The 13,631-nt window shown below is 54.2% G+C and overlaps 1 long non-coding RNA gene across 1 annotated transcript, besides 8 other annotated features; it reads left to right on the top strand.

Moving 5' to 3' along the window:
- Positions 3,545-4,334: an enhancer, noted in NCBI's record as "H3K4me1 hESC enhancer chr2:97197539-97198328 (GRCh37/hg19 assembly coordinates)". NCBI's record gives its function as "activates a minimal SCP1, AML or CMV promoter by ChIP-STARR-seq in primed H9 embryonic stem cells {active_cell/tissue: H9 hESC(primed)}" and the evidence as "EXISTENCE:reporter gene assay evidence [ECO:0000049][PMID:30033119]".
- Positions 3,787-3,836: an enhancer, noted in NCBI's record as "active region_16220". NCBI's record gives its function as "activates an Ori minimal core promoter by ATAC-STARR-seq in GM12878 lymphoblastoid cells {active_cell/tissue: GM12878}" and the evidence as "EXISTENCE:reporter gene assay evidence [ECO:0000049][PMID:35858748]".
- On the top strand, positions 3,830-8,196 carry LOC105373496 (uncharacterized). Its single transcript, NR_135564.1, has 3 exons — positions 3,830-3,909; positions 6,287-6,402; positions 7,953-8,196. It is a non-coding gene; the product is annotated as an uncharacterized LOC105373496 (long non-coding RNA).
- Positions 4,037-4,116: a silencer, noted in NCBI's record as "silent region_11770". NCBI's record gives its function as "represses an Ori minimal core promoter by ATAC-STARR-seq in GM12878 lymphoblastoid cells {active_cell/tissue: GM12878}" and the evidence as "EXISTENCE:reporter gene assay evidence [ECO:0000049][PMID:35858748]".
- Positions 4,335-5,126: an enhancer, noted in NCBI's record as "H3K4me1 hESC enhancer chr2:97196747-97197538 (GRCh37/hg19 assembly coordinates)". NCBI's record gives its function as "activates a minimal SCP1, AML or CMV promoter by ChIP-STARR-seq in primed H9 embryonic stem cells {active_cell/tissue: H9 hESC(primed)}" and the evidence as "EXISTENCE:reporter gene assay evidence [ECO:0000049][PMID:30033119]".
- Positions 7,337-7,486: an enhancer, noted in NCBI's record as "active region_16219". NCBI's record gives its function as "activates an Ori minimal core promoter by ATAC-STARR-seq in GM12878 lymphoblastoid cells {active_cell/tissue: GM12878}" and the evidence as "EXISTENCE:reporter gene assay evidence [ECO:0000049][PMID:35858748]".
- Positions 8,347-8,446: a silencer, noted in NCBI's record as "silent region_11769". NCBI's record gives its function as "represses an Ori minimal core promoter by ATAC-STARR-seq in GM12878 lymphoblastoid cells {active_cell/tissue: GM12878}" and the evidence as "EXISTENCE:reporter gene assay evidence [ECO:0000049][PMID:35858748]".
- Positions 8,597-8,936: a silencer, noted in NCBI's record as "silent region_11768". NCBI's record gives its function as "represses an Ori minimal core promoter by ATAC-STARR-seq in GM12878 lymphoblastoid cells {active_cell/tissue: GM12878}" and the evidence as "EXISTENCE:reporter gene assay evidence [ECO:0000049][PMID:35858748]".
- Positions 11,269-11,788: an enhancer, noted in NCBI's record as "H3K4me1 hESC enhancer chr2:97190085-97190604 (GRCh37/hg19 assembly coordinates)". NCBI's record gives its function as "activates a minimal SCP1, AML or CMV promoter by ChIP-STARR-seq in naive H9 embryonic stem cells {active_cell/tissue: H9 hESC(naive)}" and the evidence as "EXISTENCE:reporter gene assay evidence [ECO:0000049][PMID:30033119]".

The raw sequence follows: 13,631 nt of genomic DNA, 5'->3' as shown, positions 1-13,631 counted from the left end.
GGAGAGGTGGTTAGTGTGAGCTAGACAAGGACCAAACTAGTAAATCCTTGGCCTAGGCTCTGTGGCCAGGCCTGCCAGTAATAGTCAATGTCCACACACATAATGCAGACAGAGTGTGGCAGCTACAAGCTGAGTAGTCCAAAGAAGGGGCATGAGTTCAGGCTGTGGGAGGTGGGAATGAGGCCTAGGGCGAATGGAGGCAGGAGGAGGTGCCCAGCCAGCCATAGCAGCAACCTGGACCTGTGCAGGCCAAAGAGGAAGAAATGGAGGCTCAGGGTTTCAGTCTCAGCAGGTGGCTAGCTAGGATGGGAACCCTGTTCCTAGCACATAGAAGCTACACAAAAATCTTTGTTGATGAATTTTAATACTCATAATAGCTCTATGCACTTGACACCATCATTGTCCTCATTTTATAGCGTAAAACTGAGGTCTGAGAGATTAGCTCAAGTAGCACAGCTGGTAGGTGTTGGAGCCAGAGCTAGACCCAGGAAGAGGAGCCCTCATACCCAGGCATCCCCCCACCCGCTTTGCACCCATTACTAACCACTCATCATACTGGTGCCCCTCCTCACACTAAACGAAGGGACCAGGGCTGCAGTTTGGTGAACCTGAAACCCTGGCCCTTACCCTTTGGCCCTGGGATGGAAGATGTCTGCAGGCTCAGTCTAGAGCAGACGACCCTGTGGGCTCTGCAGGATAAATCCCCTGTCTACCTCATAATGGGTTGGCTTGTAAGAGCCAGCACCTGTAGAATTGGTAATAGACACCCAGAACAATCATAATGGTAATTATAACAATGCATCCCACTTTGGCAAGTTTACAAGCCACTTTCCCCTCCAGGAAAGCTAAGGCTGTGGTGGAAGACACTATGATGGGATGCCATCAGGAAGCACCTTTGTACATTCTGGAAGCATTGATTGGCAGGCACTATGCCCAAGGTTGGGGATGGAGCTCTGGATGCAGCCCCCGGGGTCACAATCTAGGCCAACCCCTCACTTGTGGGTTGGATACCCCTAATGACAAGGAACTCACTATCTTATAAGACAGCAGCTCATCCCACCAAGAGTTAGGGTTATTCTGCCATCCGGGCAGCTGGGCACATTCTGACAGACAAGGGCTGTTGTGCAAAGCCTCAGCAAGTCAACACCTGCCTGTGCCAGCCTGGGAACGATAGGATCTAAATTTAATTGCTTCCTGAGGCAACTGTTTGCAATAGAAAGTAATTTACAATGGCCAGTAAATCCTGCAGAAAACAGACATCTCCATTCATCTGGCTAAAAGCATAAACACTTCCATTGCTCAAGCCTCCATCTCACACACCTCCACTCCGGCCCAAAGCCACCCTCCTCTGCACCCTCCAACCACAGGATCCCAGGCCAGGACGCCTCTGTGCCTACAGAGGGGGTCAGCTAGCCCCTCAGTGTCCTGGTGTCTCTCTGTGTGTCTTAATAATAAGAAAAACAAACCATCACTTATAAATAAACACATTCGTCCTGTAAAAACATGCAAGTAAATCAGCCCTCTCTGATGCTACACCAAATCCAGTTCCCTCCCTGCCCCAGAGGTAAAGACCCATCAGATTGGGTGAAGTCTTCCAGAACTTTCCCTATGTGTATTTTCAAAACTATATATGTATCCATGGTATAGAAAAATAGATAGCTTTGTTTTATGTGTGTGTTTAAAGAAACGATACAATTCTCATTGCTCCATTCTGAAACTTGCTTTTTCGATCACCGCTAGATCTTACAGACTTTCCTTGTTGGAACACAGATCTGCTTCTTTGGGAACTGCTGGGCTGTGTGCCCAGCACAGTGTATTTAATCTCCTCTTGATAGCGTTTAATCTTTTTGCAATTACATGAATCCTGCTGAGAACATTATAGACCCCCTTAGAACAGTTCCAGGGCTAAGGAGCTCACAAAGTGTTCCCAGAGACTGAGCTAAAAGCTGCTTTCTAACTCCCACCTCCATGTCCTAGCACCTCTTGTTAGCCCATTTCTAGGAAGAAAATCTGGCCCTGGGGGTGGTTCTCATCCTGGAGCTCTCAGAGATATAGGGACCATTCAAGATCATCTGTCCACCTGGTCTCATTTTAGAAAGGAGGTCACCAGGCCAGAGAGGTTAAGCAAACTGTCCAAAGTCACACAGCAAAATCAGTGCTTTTGTTTCTTCTGGGACCTGCAAACCCATCCAGTGCCCTCAGGAAACAGAATGCACAGCCAGTCTTCTATCCTGGGAAGCTCAGTTCCCAGGCTCAGCAGTTGCCAAAGGCCCCTGGGGGTTTGTTTTCAAAGGAGAAATGAAGTGGGGAAGTATTTTTAACGCGGCCCCGCCCTGCTTGCCTAACTCCTCGTTCCCCGTGCTAGCTGTCCAGGAAAGGCCAGCTTCACAGCAGCATTTGCAACTCATGGAAAACAACAAATGCCCGAAATAGATGATACCCAAGCTCAGGAATGGAAAAAATTGGCTCATGGTTCAAATGCCTCTTTTAGAAAAAGACAAGAATAGCTTTTGGCCTTTGGGGAACTGCTGGGGGTGAAGGAGTGGGGAGGTGGTTGTGAGTCCCAGATCACCAAGGGCCAACTTCCTGCCTGAAAGAGCTTTGGCCACTGTACCCCAGGGCGCGTGTAAACCAGCTTCCCAAGCTTTGTCCACACTGGAAGCTGCATCTGCACCTGGCTCTAGGTTCCCTCCAACCTCCAGCCAATCTGGAAAGATTTCCTGTGTTGGGCCAGGGCTGGGCTGGTTTCCCCTCTCCACCCCACATCTCCCCAGTGTGTCCCAGCAGGGTAGAAACCCATGGTTCTGAACTTCCTGAGCCTGAAGGGTGGAAGCTGAATTCCCCTGGGGGAGGGGAACGGAGGGCAAGGAGAGAAAATTGGGGGTTTCATTCCCACTCAGACACAGCCCAGCTGTGTGGCCTTGGACACTTAACCTGTCAGGGCCTCAGGCCCCTCCCGTGGAAAGCAGGATAATGCTCCACTTATTCAGTCATCCACTCATCCAACATGTGTTGTGTGGTCCTACTATGTGCCAGCACTGAGCTAGACCTGGGATGTAGCCACAACCAGAAAGAAGTCCGTATCCTTGTGGAGCAGAAGATGTGGCCCTTGCCAACCTCACAGGCTACTAAGAATCAGTCCCCGCTCCAGCTACTCAGCCAAGGCCTTGTGCTGAAAGGGGTGAAAATGCCTTGGACCAGGGCGGACCCTAACACACACTGCACCATCTTGCATGGAGTATTTCTTTCAATGTCACTCTAGCCCTCTGAAGTGGGCGCTGTATCTATATCTATCCCCTTATTACAATTGAGAACCAGAGAGTAAGTGCTGGACAAGCCCACAGACTCGTCCACAGACAGGAAGGAGTAAGTTTGGGCTGGGTGAGGGCCAGGCCCTGGTAAGTCCCAGGGTCAGGGTAACTAAAGCTCTGTGTGAGTCTTGACTGGTGCTTAGCACAAAATGCACTGGACAAGAAATCTCTTAAAACCATTGGGTCTCTGTGACACTTTTACTTAAAATAAGGTCTCAACTGACACTTCCACTCTCTGTTGTATGTCAGGTGACCCTTCCATTTGACAGAAGAGTAAACCAAGGCATGTAGAGATTAAATGACCTCTGCCCAGCCACACCCTGCCCATCTCCCACCAAGATGAGGCGGGAGAGGGGCGAGGAGTTGGGCTGGGGATGGGGGCATGACTGGGGCCAGGACAGAACTCCATCTCCCAGGATACCATGCAAAGGGGGCGTGTAGGGGCTGGGCCTCCGCGTAGGCAGGGCTGTAATTTCTTGGTATTTAAAAAAAAAAAAAAAGGAGCAAAAGGAAAGAGAGAAAGAATCGAAGCCTCAAGCGTCACGTCTAGGAATAGCGCTGGAGTCGGGCCAAGTCATTAGAGACGATGAGTAATCTGGTTAAGTCATTTCTCTAAACACCATTCCTTGTAAGAGAATTAAAATATCAGCTTACATCAGAGGGGGAGAGGCAGGCTCCAGAGGCCCAGGCAGGAGCACGGCCAGGAAGGGGGCACGGCTGTTGCGCTCTGCCACTCAGCCCTGCCCCCGGCGGGGGCTGCATGCGGGGCCCTGCCAGCTGAGCCCTGGGCTTGCGGTGGGGGCTGGCATCCAGCTAGCAGGGGTAGGGGGAGCGGCCCGCCACACCTCCGTTTACCTCATTGTTCAGGGTGCTGGGAGAAGTTCGGGACTGCCTGCTCTTGGGAGAATCGTTGTCCCTCCTGGGGGCAGCTGTTTTGTTTTTTTTTTCTTCAGTGTCTCCCCTCCCTCCTAAGATGTTGAGTTGATATCTCGACAGCTTCAGGTCTACCGTTGGAGTAAAGGGCTGGGGATCGGCCTGGGGACACAGGGAATGGAAAGAGGGGTCCCCAAACCTCTGGAGAGGTGCCGATTTCCCCCTAGACTAACTGGAAAGTGGTGAGGGGTGATGCCTTAATTCCTATTTCCCCCTTTTCCCTTTAGTTGCCCTGTATTTGGAGAACGCAGGGCTGGGAATCTGCCAGACTTATGGAGGCGGTGGTGACTGCCAGCGCCACTTTCCGCATCCTGGGGGCAGGATTATGGTGACCTGGGGAGAGCTGCTGATCATGAAGCTGACCCTTGTGGGAGGCAGTGGTGCAAGTCTGTGGTCCCAGTGACTCCGGAGCTGAGGTGGGAGGGGGATCTCTTGAGCCAGGAGTTCAAGGCTACAGTGAGCTATGATCGCACCAGGGCACTGTAGCCTGGGCGACAGAGCGAGACCCCAACTTAAAAAAAAAAAAGATGCCCTCAGGCTCATTATAATGCCTACCCTCTGAGCCAGGACCCACAATGTGAATTGGGTCTCAGCTGTGAGCAGGACACAGACGTCATCTCACCCTCTGTAGCCCTAAAGAGGCCCGGAGACTTCCTAATGGCCTCCCAGCCATTCCTAGGCCGTGTGGAATCACTCAGGTTTATGGTGGCGGGCCCCAAACACTTGAGGCAGGCTCTCACCACATGCTGACTCCTGCAGCGACAGGCTAGGAGAGGTCCATGCCTCCCTGGGAGCTTCTCAGCCAGTCCAGAGAACAGAAACCTCCCCGGCTCTGGAGTCAGGTGGACTGGTTTGCAATCCGGGTACCCTCCCTTGCAGGTAGTATGACCTGGGATGGGTTATTCACTGTCTCCAACCCTTAGTTTTCCCGTGTGAAATGGCGTTAGCAATACCTAGCTTGCAAGATTACTGTGAGGGTGAGAAATAACATAAGCCTTCAACAACTGGTCATTCTATTGTGGCAGCTACCTGAGAACAGCCTCCTTCGCCGGTGGCATCAGAACTTCTGCAGGGTGGATTCTGCACTCTTCAGGCCTTGCCCTGATGACCTGGGGCTGGGCCCTGAGACCCCACTCCCGATCGGGCTTTCCAGGTCTTTGGGTAGCAGCTGCAAAGCCCTCCCGAGGTTCCTGGTGGGGTCCTAGGCTCTGGCCAGGATGCGGGCATGAAGGGAGGAATTATGGGGGAAGTCAGTGACTCATCTCCAATCTGAGTAGGCCCCACTAACCCCTTCAATACTGGAAGCCCAGGCTTTTGGGGGAGGGACTGCTCTAATTCCTCCTCCCCAGATGAACTCATGGGACTTTGCGAATATGAAAACTAAAGCTTTCAGCCTTGCAATGGCCTGGGGTCAGCTGGCTCCAAGAACCCAGATCCCCCAGAGGTTTCATACTCTTGCTGTGGCTCCCCCACACTGCAGCCCCGACCTGAAGCCCAGGCCCCTGCTTTCATCATCGTGGTATCATCCACCAGGCACCTGCCACAGGCAGGGCTACCCTCCCTGCCTGACATCCCAACTACCTTTGTTGGAAACAGTACCTGGCAGGGAGAACCCAAGGTGAACCCAGGTATACGTGGTTCTGTCTACACCCCAAGAGCTCTCTCATTCTCCCCGCACCTGCTGTGCATCCTTTCTGCTGCTGCACGCCCAGATGTGAGTGTGCAAAGCTGTGTACACACGCCTGTGCATCTATGCATGGGTCTTGCCTGCCAGGAGCCCACAGCTCACACATAGGATCACACAAACATATGTATACACTAACTCACCAGAGAGCCTACAAGAAGCCCCTGAAGCTTTTTCTTCCCCACATCTGGGGCACCCTGGCCTGCCCTGGACTCCTAGAAGAGGACACAGGGTTGTCCAGCCCCCCTCCCTCACCCCAGCTGCCCACCTATGCCATGGTGTCTTCAGCCATGGGGCCTGCCTGAGGGATTCTGCTCTGTTAAAACTGCCTTCGCTCTCTCTGCCTTGGCCTCAGCAGGCTCTTCCAGACCTTCCTGAGTGGTAGTGGCCACGGCTGAAGACAGAGGGCTGCGTGGAGGCTGAAGGCAGAGGGCTGGGCCTTGGGCCTGGGTAAAGACAGCTCTGGACATGGAGGTAGGTTGGCATCCCCCCTCTCTGGCACATACGGCAATATAGCCACACTGGGAGGGCTTTGCCCCAGTGCCTGGTGCTGTTTCTGGAGCTGTGTGTGTGCATGGGCTATACCCTCTGGCCTGGAGGAACCTTCCCGGGCTTGGCAGTTCCCACTGTATTTACCTAGTGAGCTTCTGCTCATCCTTCAAGGGCCCACCTGAGGCAGATACCCAGGGGTCTCAACACACACCTCCAGCAGGGCATGTGCCACATCGTGCTCCTGTGGTCAGCCCCATGCCATTGTGTGACTGGCCAGCAGCTCCCGAGCCTCTCGTCTCCAGCTAGGAGTGGTCTTTACTATCTGCCCACACTACGCTGCTGAAAGGGCCGCAGAACCCCGGCCACTGCTCCTCCAGAAGAGGAAACTGAGGGTCTAAGTGGGAAGGGACTTATCCAAGGTCTCACAGTCGCTTCAAAAGATCTCACAGTTGGTAAAGGAATTGGGAAGGAAGAGGAGGAAGTGAGAGGCCACTGAGGGCAGGTGCACAGTAGGTGCTCAATGAAGATCCACAGAAGGAGAATGAAGGGCACGGAGGAGAGGGAGGAGGAAGAGGCCATGCACCCACCTCCACCCCTATCCCACATCTCCCTCCATCACCAGGCAACATCTGCCCTTTCTTCCCCAGGGGTTAGCGCTTCCTAGTTGTCAAGGGCAGCACATTCTAGATGCTGGGGACTTGACCTCACATGCGGCCCTTCTTGCTGGAGTTTCGCTGGAGTCACACCCTCCCTATGGCTGCAGGCTGGCTGCTCAGGCCACAGCCCCTTTCCTGGTTATCTGTGTTGCTGCTGAATCCTGGCCAGGGGTAGTGAACACAGCCCAGGTCTTGGACTCCAGGACAGCGCCCCCTCAGCTCCCCAAGGAGCTCAGAGGTCCCAAGCCCCTGGCCAGCTTGTCTCAGCTGGAGGGAGGTTCTGGGCATCCTGTAGCTGGACTCTGGGGACTCTGAGGCCTGCCTTGGCTGAGAATCTGTCTTGGCACAGATTCTGTGCCAAAGCGATGGGCAAATTTTTCTCCACAGGAAACCCAAGTACCCCAGTGCAGTTGAACTCTCCGTGCTGTCTCCTATCTATGAAACCGGCTGGCAGGCACAATAACAGCCCTCACGCCTCCGGGTGCAGTTACGGGCATTGGATGAGCTATTTCTTATAAAGGGCTTAGAACTGTGCCCGCTGGCGGGAGGAAGTGCTCCATAAACATTAGCTGGTTTCCACAGCCCTGGGTGAAACAGAAGGCACGGGGTGGGCCCAGGCTGGGGGAGTGGGGACAGGAAACCTGACTTCCAGCTCCAGCCCCAGCTCAGCAGATAGGCCATTTGGTTCTGCAAGGCCCCCACCCCCTTGCCTTCCCTCCTTCTGTACGTGTGTGTCATATTTTGTTGGCTTTGGGGCTTTCTTTTCTTTCTTTCTTTTCTTTTTTTTTTTAAATAAACAAGGGCTGCATGAAACCCCTAATATTCTGGGTAAGTGTTGAAACAGCTCAGAAATCCCCTCCTCCCCTTGTGACTCAGTGGCAGGAGCGATAAGCAGAACTACTGGTGACACTGTGGGAGAGAAATTCTGCAAAATAACAGCTGGGCAGCCCGGGACCCCAGGGAGTTGAAATGGGACCTCGGAGACATCAGGATGTCCTGGAGAGGCACCAAGGCCAGAGGTCCCCCAGGGACCGTGGAGGGGGCATTAAGCCCTGAAAACAGATCATGATGCCCATCCCCCCAGCACAATTAGAAATAAAAACAACCCGGGACAGTTAAATTAGTGTAAGGAAGTCCCTCAAGAGTTTTACTTTTCCCGTAACGGCGATTTTCGATGCTCCTTCGGAAACATCAGATTCTTTCCAAGCGTTATTCTTTTTCTATTTTGGTGCCCGAAGTACTAGCGTGGTGGACCAAGCCCCTACACCAGCCGTGAGCGACCCCTGCGGGCTGCCTGGCCCCTGTGGGCACTGGCTCCGGGGATGCGGCAGGGGGCGGAGGGGGCGACACCGGGCTTGGGGGGCGGGCAGCGGAGGGAGGACTGGGGGTGGGGAGGGGGGAGGGCGGGGAGGGCGCCCAGCGGCGCGGCCGCGCCCCCCACCCCACCCCATTCCACCCCCACCGAGGACCGCGCTGGGGTTTCAGAAAGCGCTTTTCTGGCCCTGCCGCCGGATCTGACTCAAAAAGGGGAGCTGGCTCAAACCGAAAGAATAATTCGGTTAGCCAAAGCGCCGATATTTCCCTGGGGCCCAAATGGCTGCCAGGCAGGGGGCTCCAGGGCCGCAGCCTCGCCGGCCCCTCGGGCCCCGCCGAAAGCCCCGGGCCCCATCCATCTTCGCCACCGAAAGGGGCAGGAAGAGCAGCTGAGAGGAGGGCGCCTCCTCCAGCCCCGCAGGCTCTGCTGCCGGACCGTCGTGTCCCTCCCGAGGCCTTCCCCTGCCTGTCCCAGCGGGCCCTGCTCTCTCGGGTTCTCAGGACGTTGGGCAGACCCCTTAGGCCTCTTTTCTAGCAGCACGCACATTCCTGCACACCTCCGCATGTGAAGTTTTTCTGGAAGTATCATGTGGACACTTTTGGAGGCCTACACCCACTCTTAGAGGTGTCTGGCGTCCCATTGCAGGGGCGTTCCGTCTTTTGAAGTTGAAGAATTGTCTTGGACCATACGTAAAATACACTAACACTACCGACAGCCGGTGAGCTAAAAGAAAAAATCGCGAAAATACCTCAGTGTTCTAAGAAAGCTTTATGAATTTGGGCCGCATTCAAAACCTTCCTCAGTCACATGCCGCCCTTGGGCCACGCGTTGGACAAGCTTGCATCCTAGAGACCAATGCGAAATTAACTCGAAAAGAAAGAACCGCTCGGGCCGATTCAACACCCCTGTCACCTATCCTCACCCACGATTTCACTCCCAGGCCCCTTGGCCTGGCGGCGCTTGCCCTTTGGCCAGCGTCCTAGAGGTCACAGTGAGGCCCAAATGAACGGGGTTTTACCGAACCGACATGCCCAGGAGAGAAACATGGATCTATACAGAGAGGCTAATCATTTGTTTCAAGCTGAATTGCCAGGGTGGAGTGGGTGGGGTGGGCCCAGGGGCTCCCCTCCGCTCCCCCCGCAACCCCTGTGTCCAGTCTGAGGTGCCTGTATGCATTCTCTTCAGGTCCCCACCTTCAGTCTGAAGCAGGGAGCCGGGCTTTGCAGGTGCAGAAGCTCTCTGGCTCTGGGAGCCTGCTGGACTCAAGTTCATTCTGACCTCAGGACAGGTGTGGGCAGGAGATGCTGACGGCTGGTTTTCCTGGGCCGCCCAGAACACCTGGCCTCTCAGCTGTCTCAGCACAAAATTCGCCCTGTAAGCAGGACCCTCCTGAGCTCCCAGAAGGGCCAGGCACATAGCTGCTGTCACCGGTAACAGTCCTGCAGACAGCGAGACGGCTGTGACACAGTGCTGCACACAAAGCCTGGCTGCTGCCCGCCATATGCAAGGACAGGCACCAAACACAGCCTAGGTCAGGGACCTGCGGGGTCAGCTGAGCGTGTGAGGAGGACTCAGGTGCCTGCAATCCCTGCCTCCCTGCCACAGCGTGATGCTACAGGGTGGCCCGGCAGGACTGGGTCATTACAGCTCCTGACCTACCAGAGGACCTAGTGTCACCCCCCACTCAGTTGTCACATTGCTGGGGAGTCTGAAGAGGGGGAAGGCACCAGGGTGGTCCCAGCCATGCTGGGACTTGGAGCAGTCCCTAGTACTGACACTGAAGTATGTCAATATCACAATAAGTGGCTTAGAGGGGGTGGCATTGACTGTTAATCCCAAGGGATGAAGGGAATACCTCGCTCCTGGAAGAAAGCTGGGAGCATCTCTCTGTTTTTTTTTTTTTTTTTTTTTTGAGACAGGGTCAGTCTGAAGTGCAGTGGTGCAATCTCAGCTCACTGCAGCCTTGGACTCCTAGGCTTAGGTGATTCTCGCACTTCAGCCTCCCAGGCAGCCACGACCATAGGCATGCACCACCATGCCTGTCTAATCTTTTAAAAAATTTTATGGAGGTGGGATCTTGCTATGTTGCCCAGACTGGTCTTGAACTCCTGGGCTCAAGTGATCCACCCACTTTGGCCTCCCAAAGTGCTGGGATTATAGGCGTGAGCCACTGCACCAGGCTACATCTCCATTTTAAGATGCTGAGTGGGCACTTGGAGGAAGGACAAGAAGCAGAGTGGGTCCTGCTATATTGTGTACATTCTGGAAGTCCTCACTGCCCTGGTACCCAGACTTAGGTCTGTCACTCAGGAGTGGCAAGGGCTGCCCTAGGTCTGGCCCAGAAGTCCTCTGAGCTCCTGCTTAGAGTGCCATAGTGCCATGCCAGTGGTATGGAGGGGCTTGAGCACACTCGGGCTTATGCACACATGTGTCCCGTGGACTGTCTGGGTGCGTCTCCATGTGGGAGAGCATTCTGCCTTCTTGCATGGCAGCAAAGCTTTCGTAGGAACTCTAACCCTGTTGAAGGGAAGTAGGGAAATGAGGAGTGTCTGAGACACCAGGCTGCCTGCTCAGTCTTTCAGAGGTAGGAGAGAAGCCTGCAGAGGTCTCAGGGCTCACTTCCGCTTCCCATGAAGGCTCCCACCTGGGATCCCCAAGGTCCAAGAGCCCTCTGGAGGGAGGACCTCTCCTAAAGGGCGGCAGCCTGGGATCATCAACCAGTCCATGAAATTTCCCTCCGAGCCCTTTACAGTTCACTGTGCCCTGATTTTACAGATGGGAAAACCAAGGCCCAGAGAGGGAAAGTGGTGTGCTCAAAGCCACACTGTGGATCAGGGGCGGGGCACGGTCTGGTGCCTGCCAGCGTCCTGCGTTTCTTCCCACACTGCAGTCAGGAGAGGGAGGTGGCCGGGCAACCCTGGATCTGCTGCCCTCGGGCAGTTAGGGGTGGGGAGGGAACTCCAATGGATGCTGTGCCCCTAGCAGCAGTGGCTGCTTCACATCCCGTCCTTGGCCAGTTGTTTTGAACAAGGTATGTTTTGCTAACTTTTTACCTGGGGATCTCCAAGCATGCGATGAATTCGGAGAATATGGTTGCTGGTTTCTGCACATTTTTTTCCCCTGTAGTCTGGCCTGTTTATCACGAGCTCTGCTAATCAGAATATTCAAGTGCATGCACATACACAGGCATACACGATGTGCAGGACGTTCTGGGGAATTTACTTTTCTGGGTAACTGAGGGTTAACTGGAAACCTGTGTTCTTATGCCTTATTGAAAATTTTTCTACAAATGATGAGCATTTCCCCAACTTAGTATTTTGAAAAGTTCCACCACTTTCTAAATATGTGACCTTGGTTGAGTTACCTAACCTCAGTAACCTCAGTTTCCTTATCTGTAAAATGTGCAGAGCAATGCCTCTCTAGGTAATGAAAGGAACTAGAAATAAAAGCAGTGCATAGCATACCGTGTGTGCTTTAGAAATGGAGCCATTGCTACTGCTATTAGGACTCTTATTACCTGGTCAAAGGATCGGGAGAGTCGACTGAGGATCTTTGTGGGGATTTGGGACTCGGGTTTGGATGCCGTTGCACATCTGGCATCCATCTGCAGTTTCTGTCCCAATTAAGTCCTCCCAAGGAGATAGTTTTCTTATGATTTGCTGCTTTCTCATAAAAGCCGCTGCAGCCGTGGGAGCTGCATGCAATGAACCAAGGACCTTTGGTCTGGAGCCCATACGTTCTCTTTGAGTTTGTTGTGCCTCCTCTGGGAAAGGGCCAGGGGATGAAGGGCAGGGCCTGGGCTCAGCCTTCCTGGGATTCTGTTCCACCCCACTCTGTGTCACGCATGCACCCTGCACACAGCTCAGGACCCACTCCCTTGCCAGAGGGCACGCCAGGAAAAAGACAGGGAAAGGGGCACCCCGGCCACTGAGAAGGCAGGAAGGGCACCCTGGGCTGGGGGAGAGCAGGACAGGCTCTGGATCCCCAGCAACTACAGGGAGATTGGGATAGCTGGGGAGGGGTCTGGGTCTTAGTCTTGGCCTGGTGCATTCTAGGAAACCCTTTCTTCCTTCCCTTCCTTCCTTCCTTCCTGCCTGCCTGCCTGCCTGCCTGCCTGCCTTCCTTCCTTCCTTCCCTCCATCCCTCCCTCCCTCCCTCCCTCCCTTTCCTTCCTTCCCTTTCATTCCTTCCTTCCTTTTTTTTTTTTTTTGATGGAGTCTCACTCTGTTGTCCAGGCTGGAGTGCAGTGGTGCTATCTTGGCTCGCTGCAGCCTCTGCCTCCTGGGTTCAAGCGATCCTCGTGCCTCAGCCTCCTGAGTAGCTGCCACTGCAGAAGCATGCGCCACCACACTCAGCTAATTTCTTTTTTTTTTTTTTTGGTATATTTTTAGTAGAGATGGGGTTTTACCATGTTGGCCAGGCTGGTCTCAAACTCCTGACCTCAAGTGATCGGCCCACCTTGGCCTCCCAAAGTGCTGGGATTACAGCTGTGAGCCACTGCGCCTGGTCCAAGAGGCAGCCTTTTCTGACCCACCCCCAGATAGATCCAGATTGAAGAGTTGAGGAGCTGCCTGGAAGTGGGGAGCCCACGGGACTCCCAGCTCCATGAAACTGCTCCTGCTGGCTGTGGAGGGGGAGGAAGCAGCCACAGATGGGGAGGGTGGCAACCAGGCACCTACCCCTGCAGGGCCGCTGCCTTGCCCCCACAGGTGTAGCACTATCCGCCCAGGGATGAGGCCTGGGTGCCTGCTGGTGCCCTGTGTCAGAGGTACAGTCCTGTGAAAGGGCATGGAGTTCAGAGTCAGATCAACCCCAGCCCTGTCCCTTACTGGATGGCCTTGGGCAGCCCACTTAGATCTCTGGGCCTCACTCTCCTTACCTGTAAAATGGAAATACTTACCTTTGGGTGATGATATGAAGATGCAATGAGACTAGTGTGTGAAAAGTCAGCCTGGTGCAGTCCCTAGGCTTACAACCTGCCTCCTGCCCTTTGCTCAGGGCTGCTGAGAGGAGCACCTGGTGCTGGGCTGGACAGAGCCTTGTAGACTGAGGGTAGAGCATTGTAGGCTTTGGTTTCTGGGATGGGGGCAAAGGCTATCTCTAGACCACATCTGTATGCAGTCCCTCCTCGTTCTCGCTCCAGCTCAGTCTGTCCCTGCCTCTCACTTCTCTCTCTTCTTCCCCATAGCCTGCCCCAGGCCCCCAGCCTTCATACGGAGACCTGCCACGCTGGCACAGGG

This window comes from Homo sapiens, chromosome 2 (assembly GCF_000001405.40).
Source record: "Homo sapiens chromosome 2, GRCh38.p14 Primary Assembly".
Lineage (NCBI taxonomy): Eukaryota > Metazoa > Chordata > Mammalia > Primates > Hominidae > Homo > Homo sapiens.
Note: the sequence above shows the minus strand (reverse complement) of the source record. Positions and strands in the feature narration are given on the sequence as shown.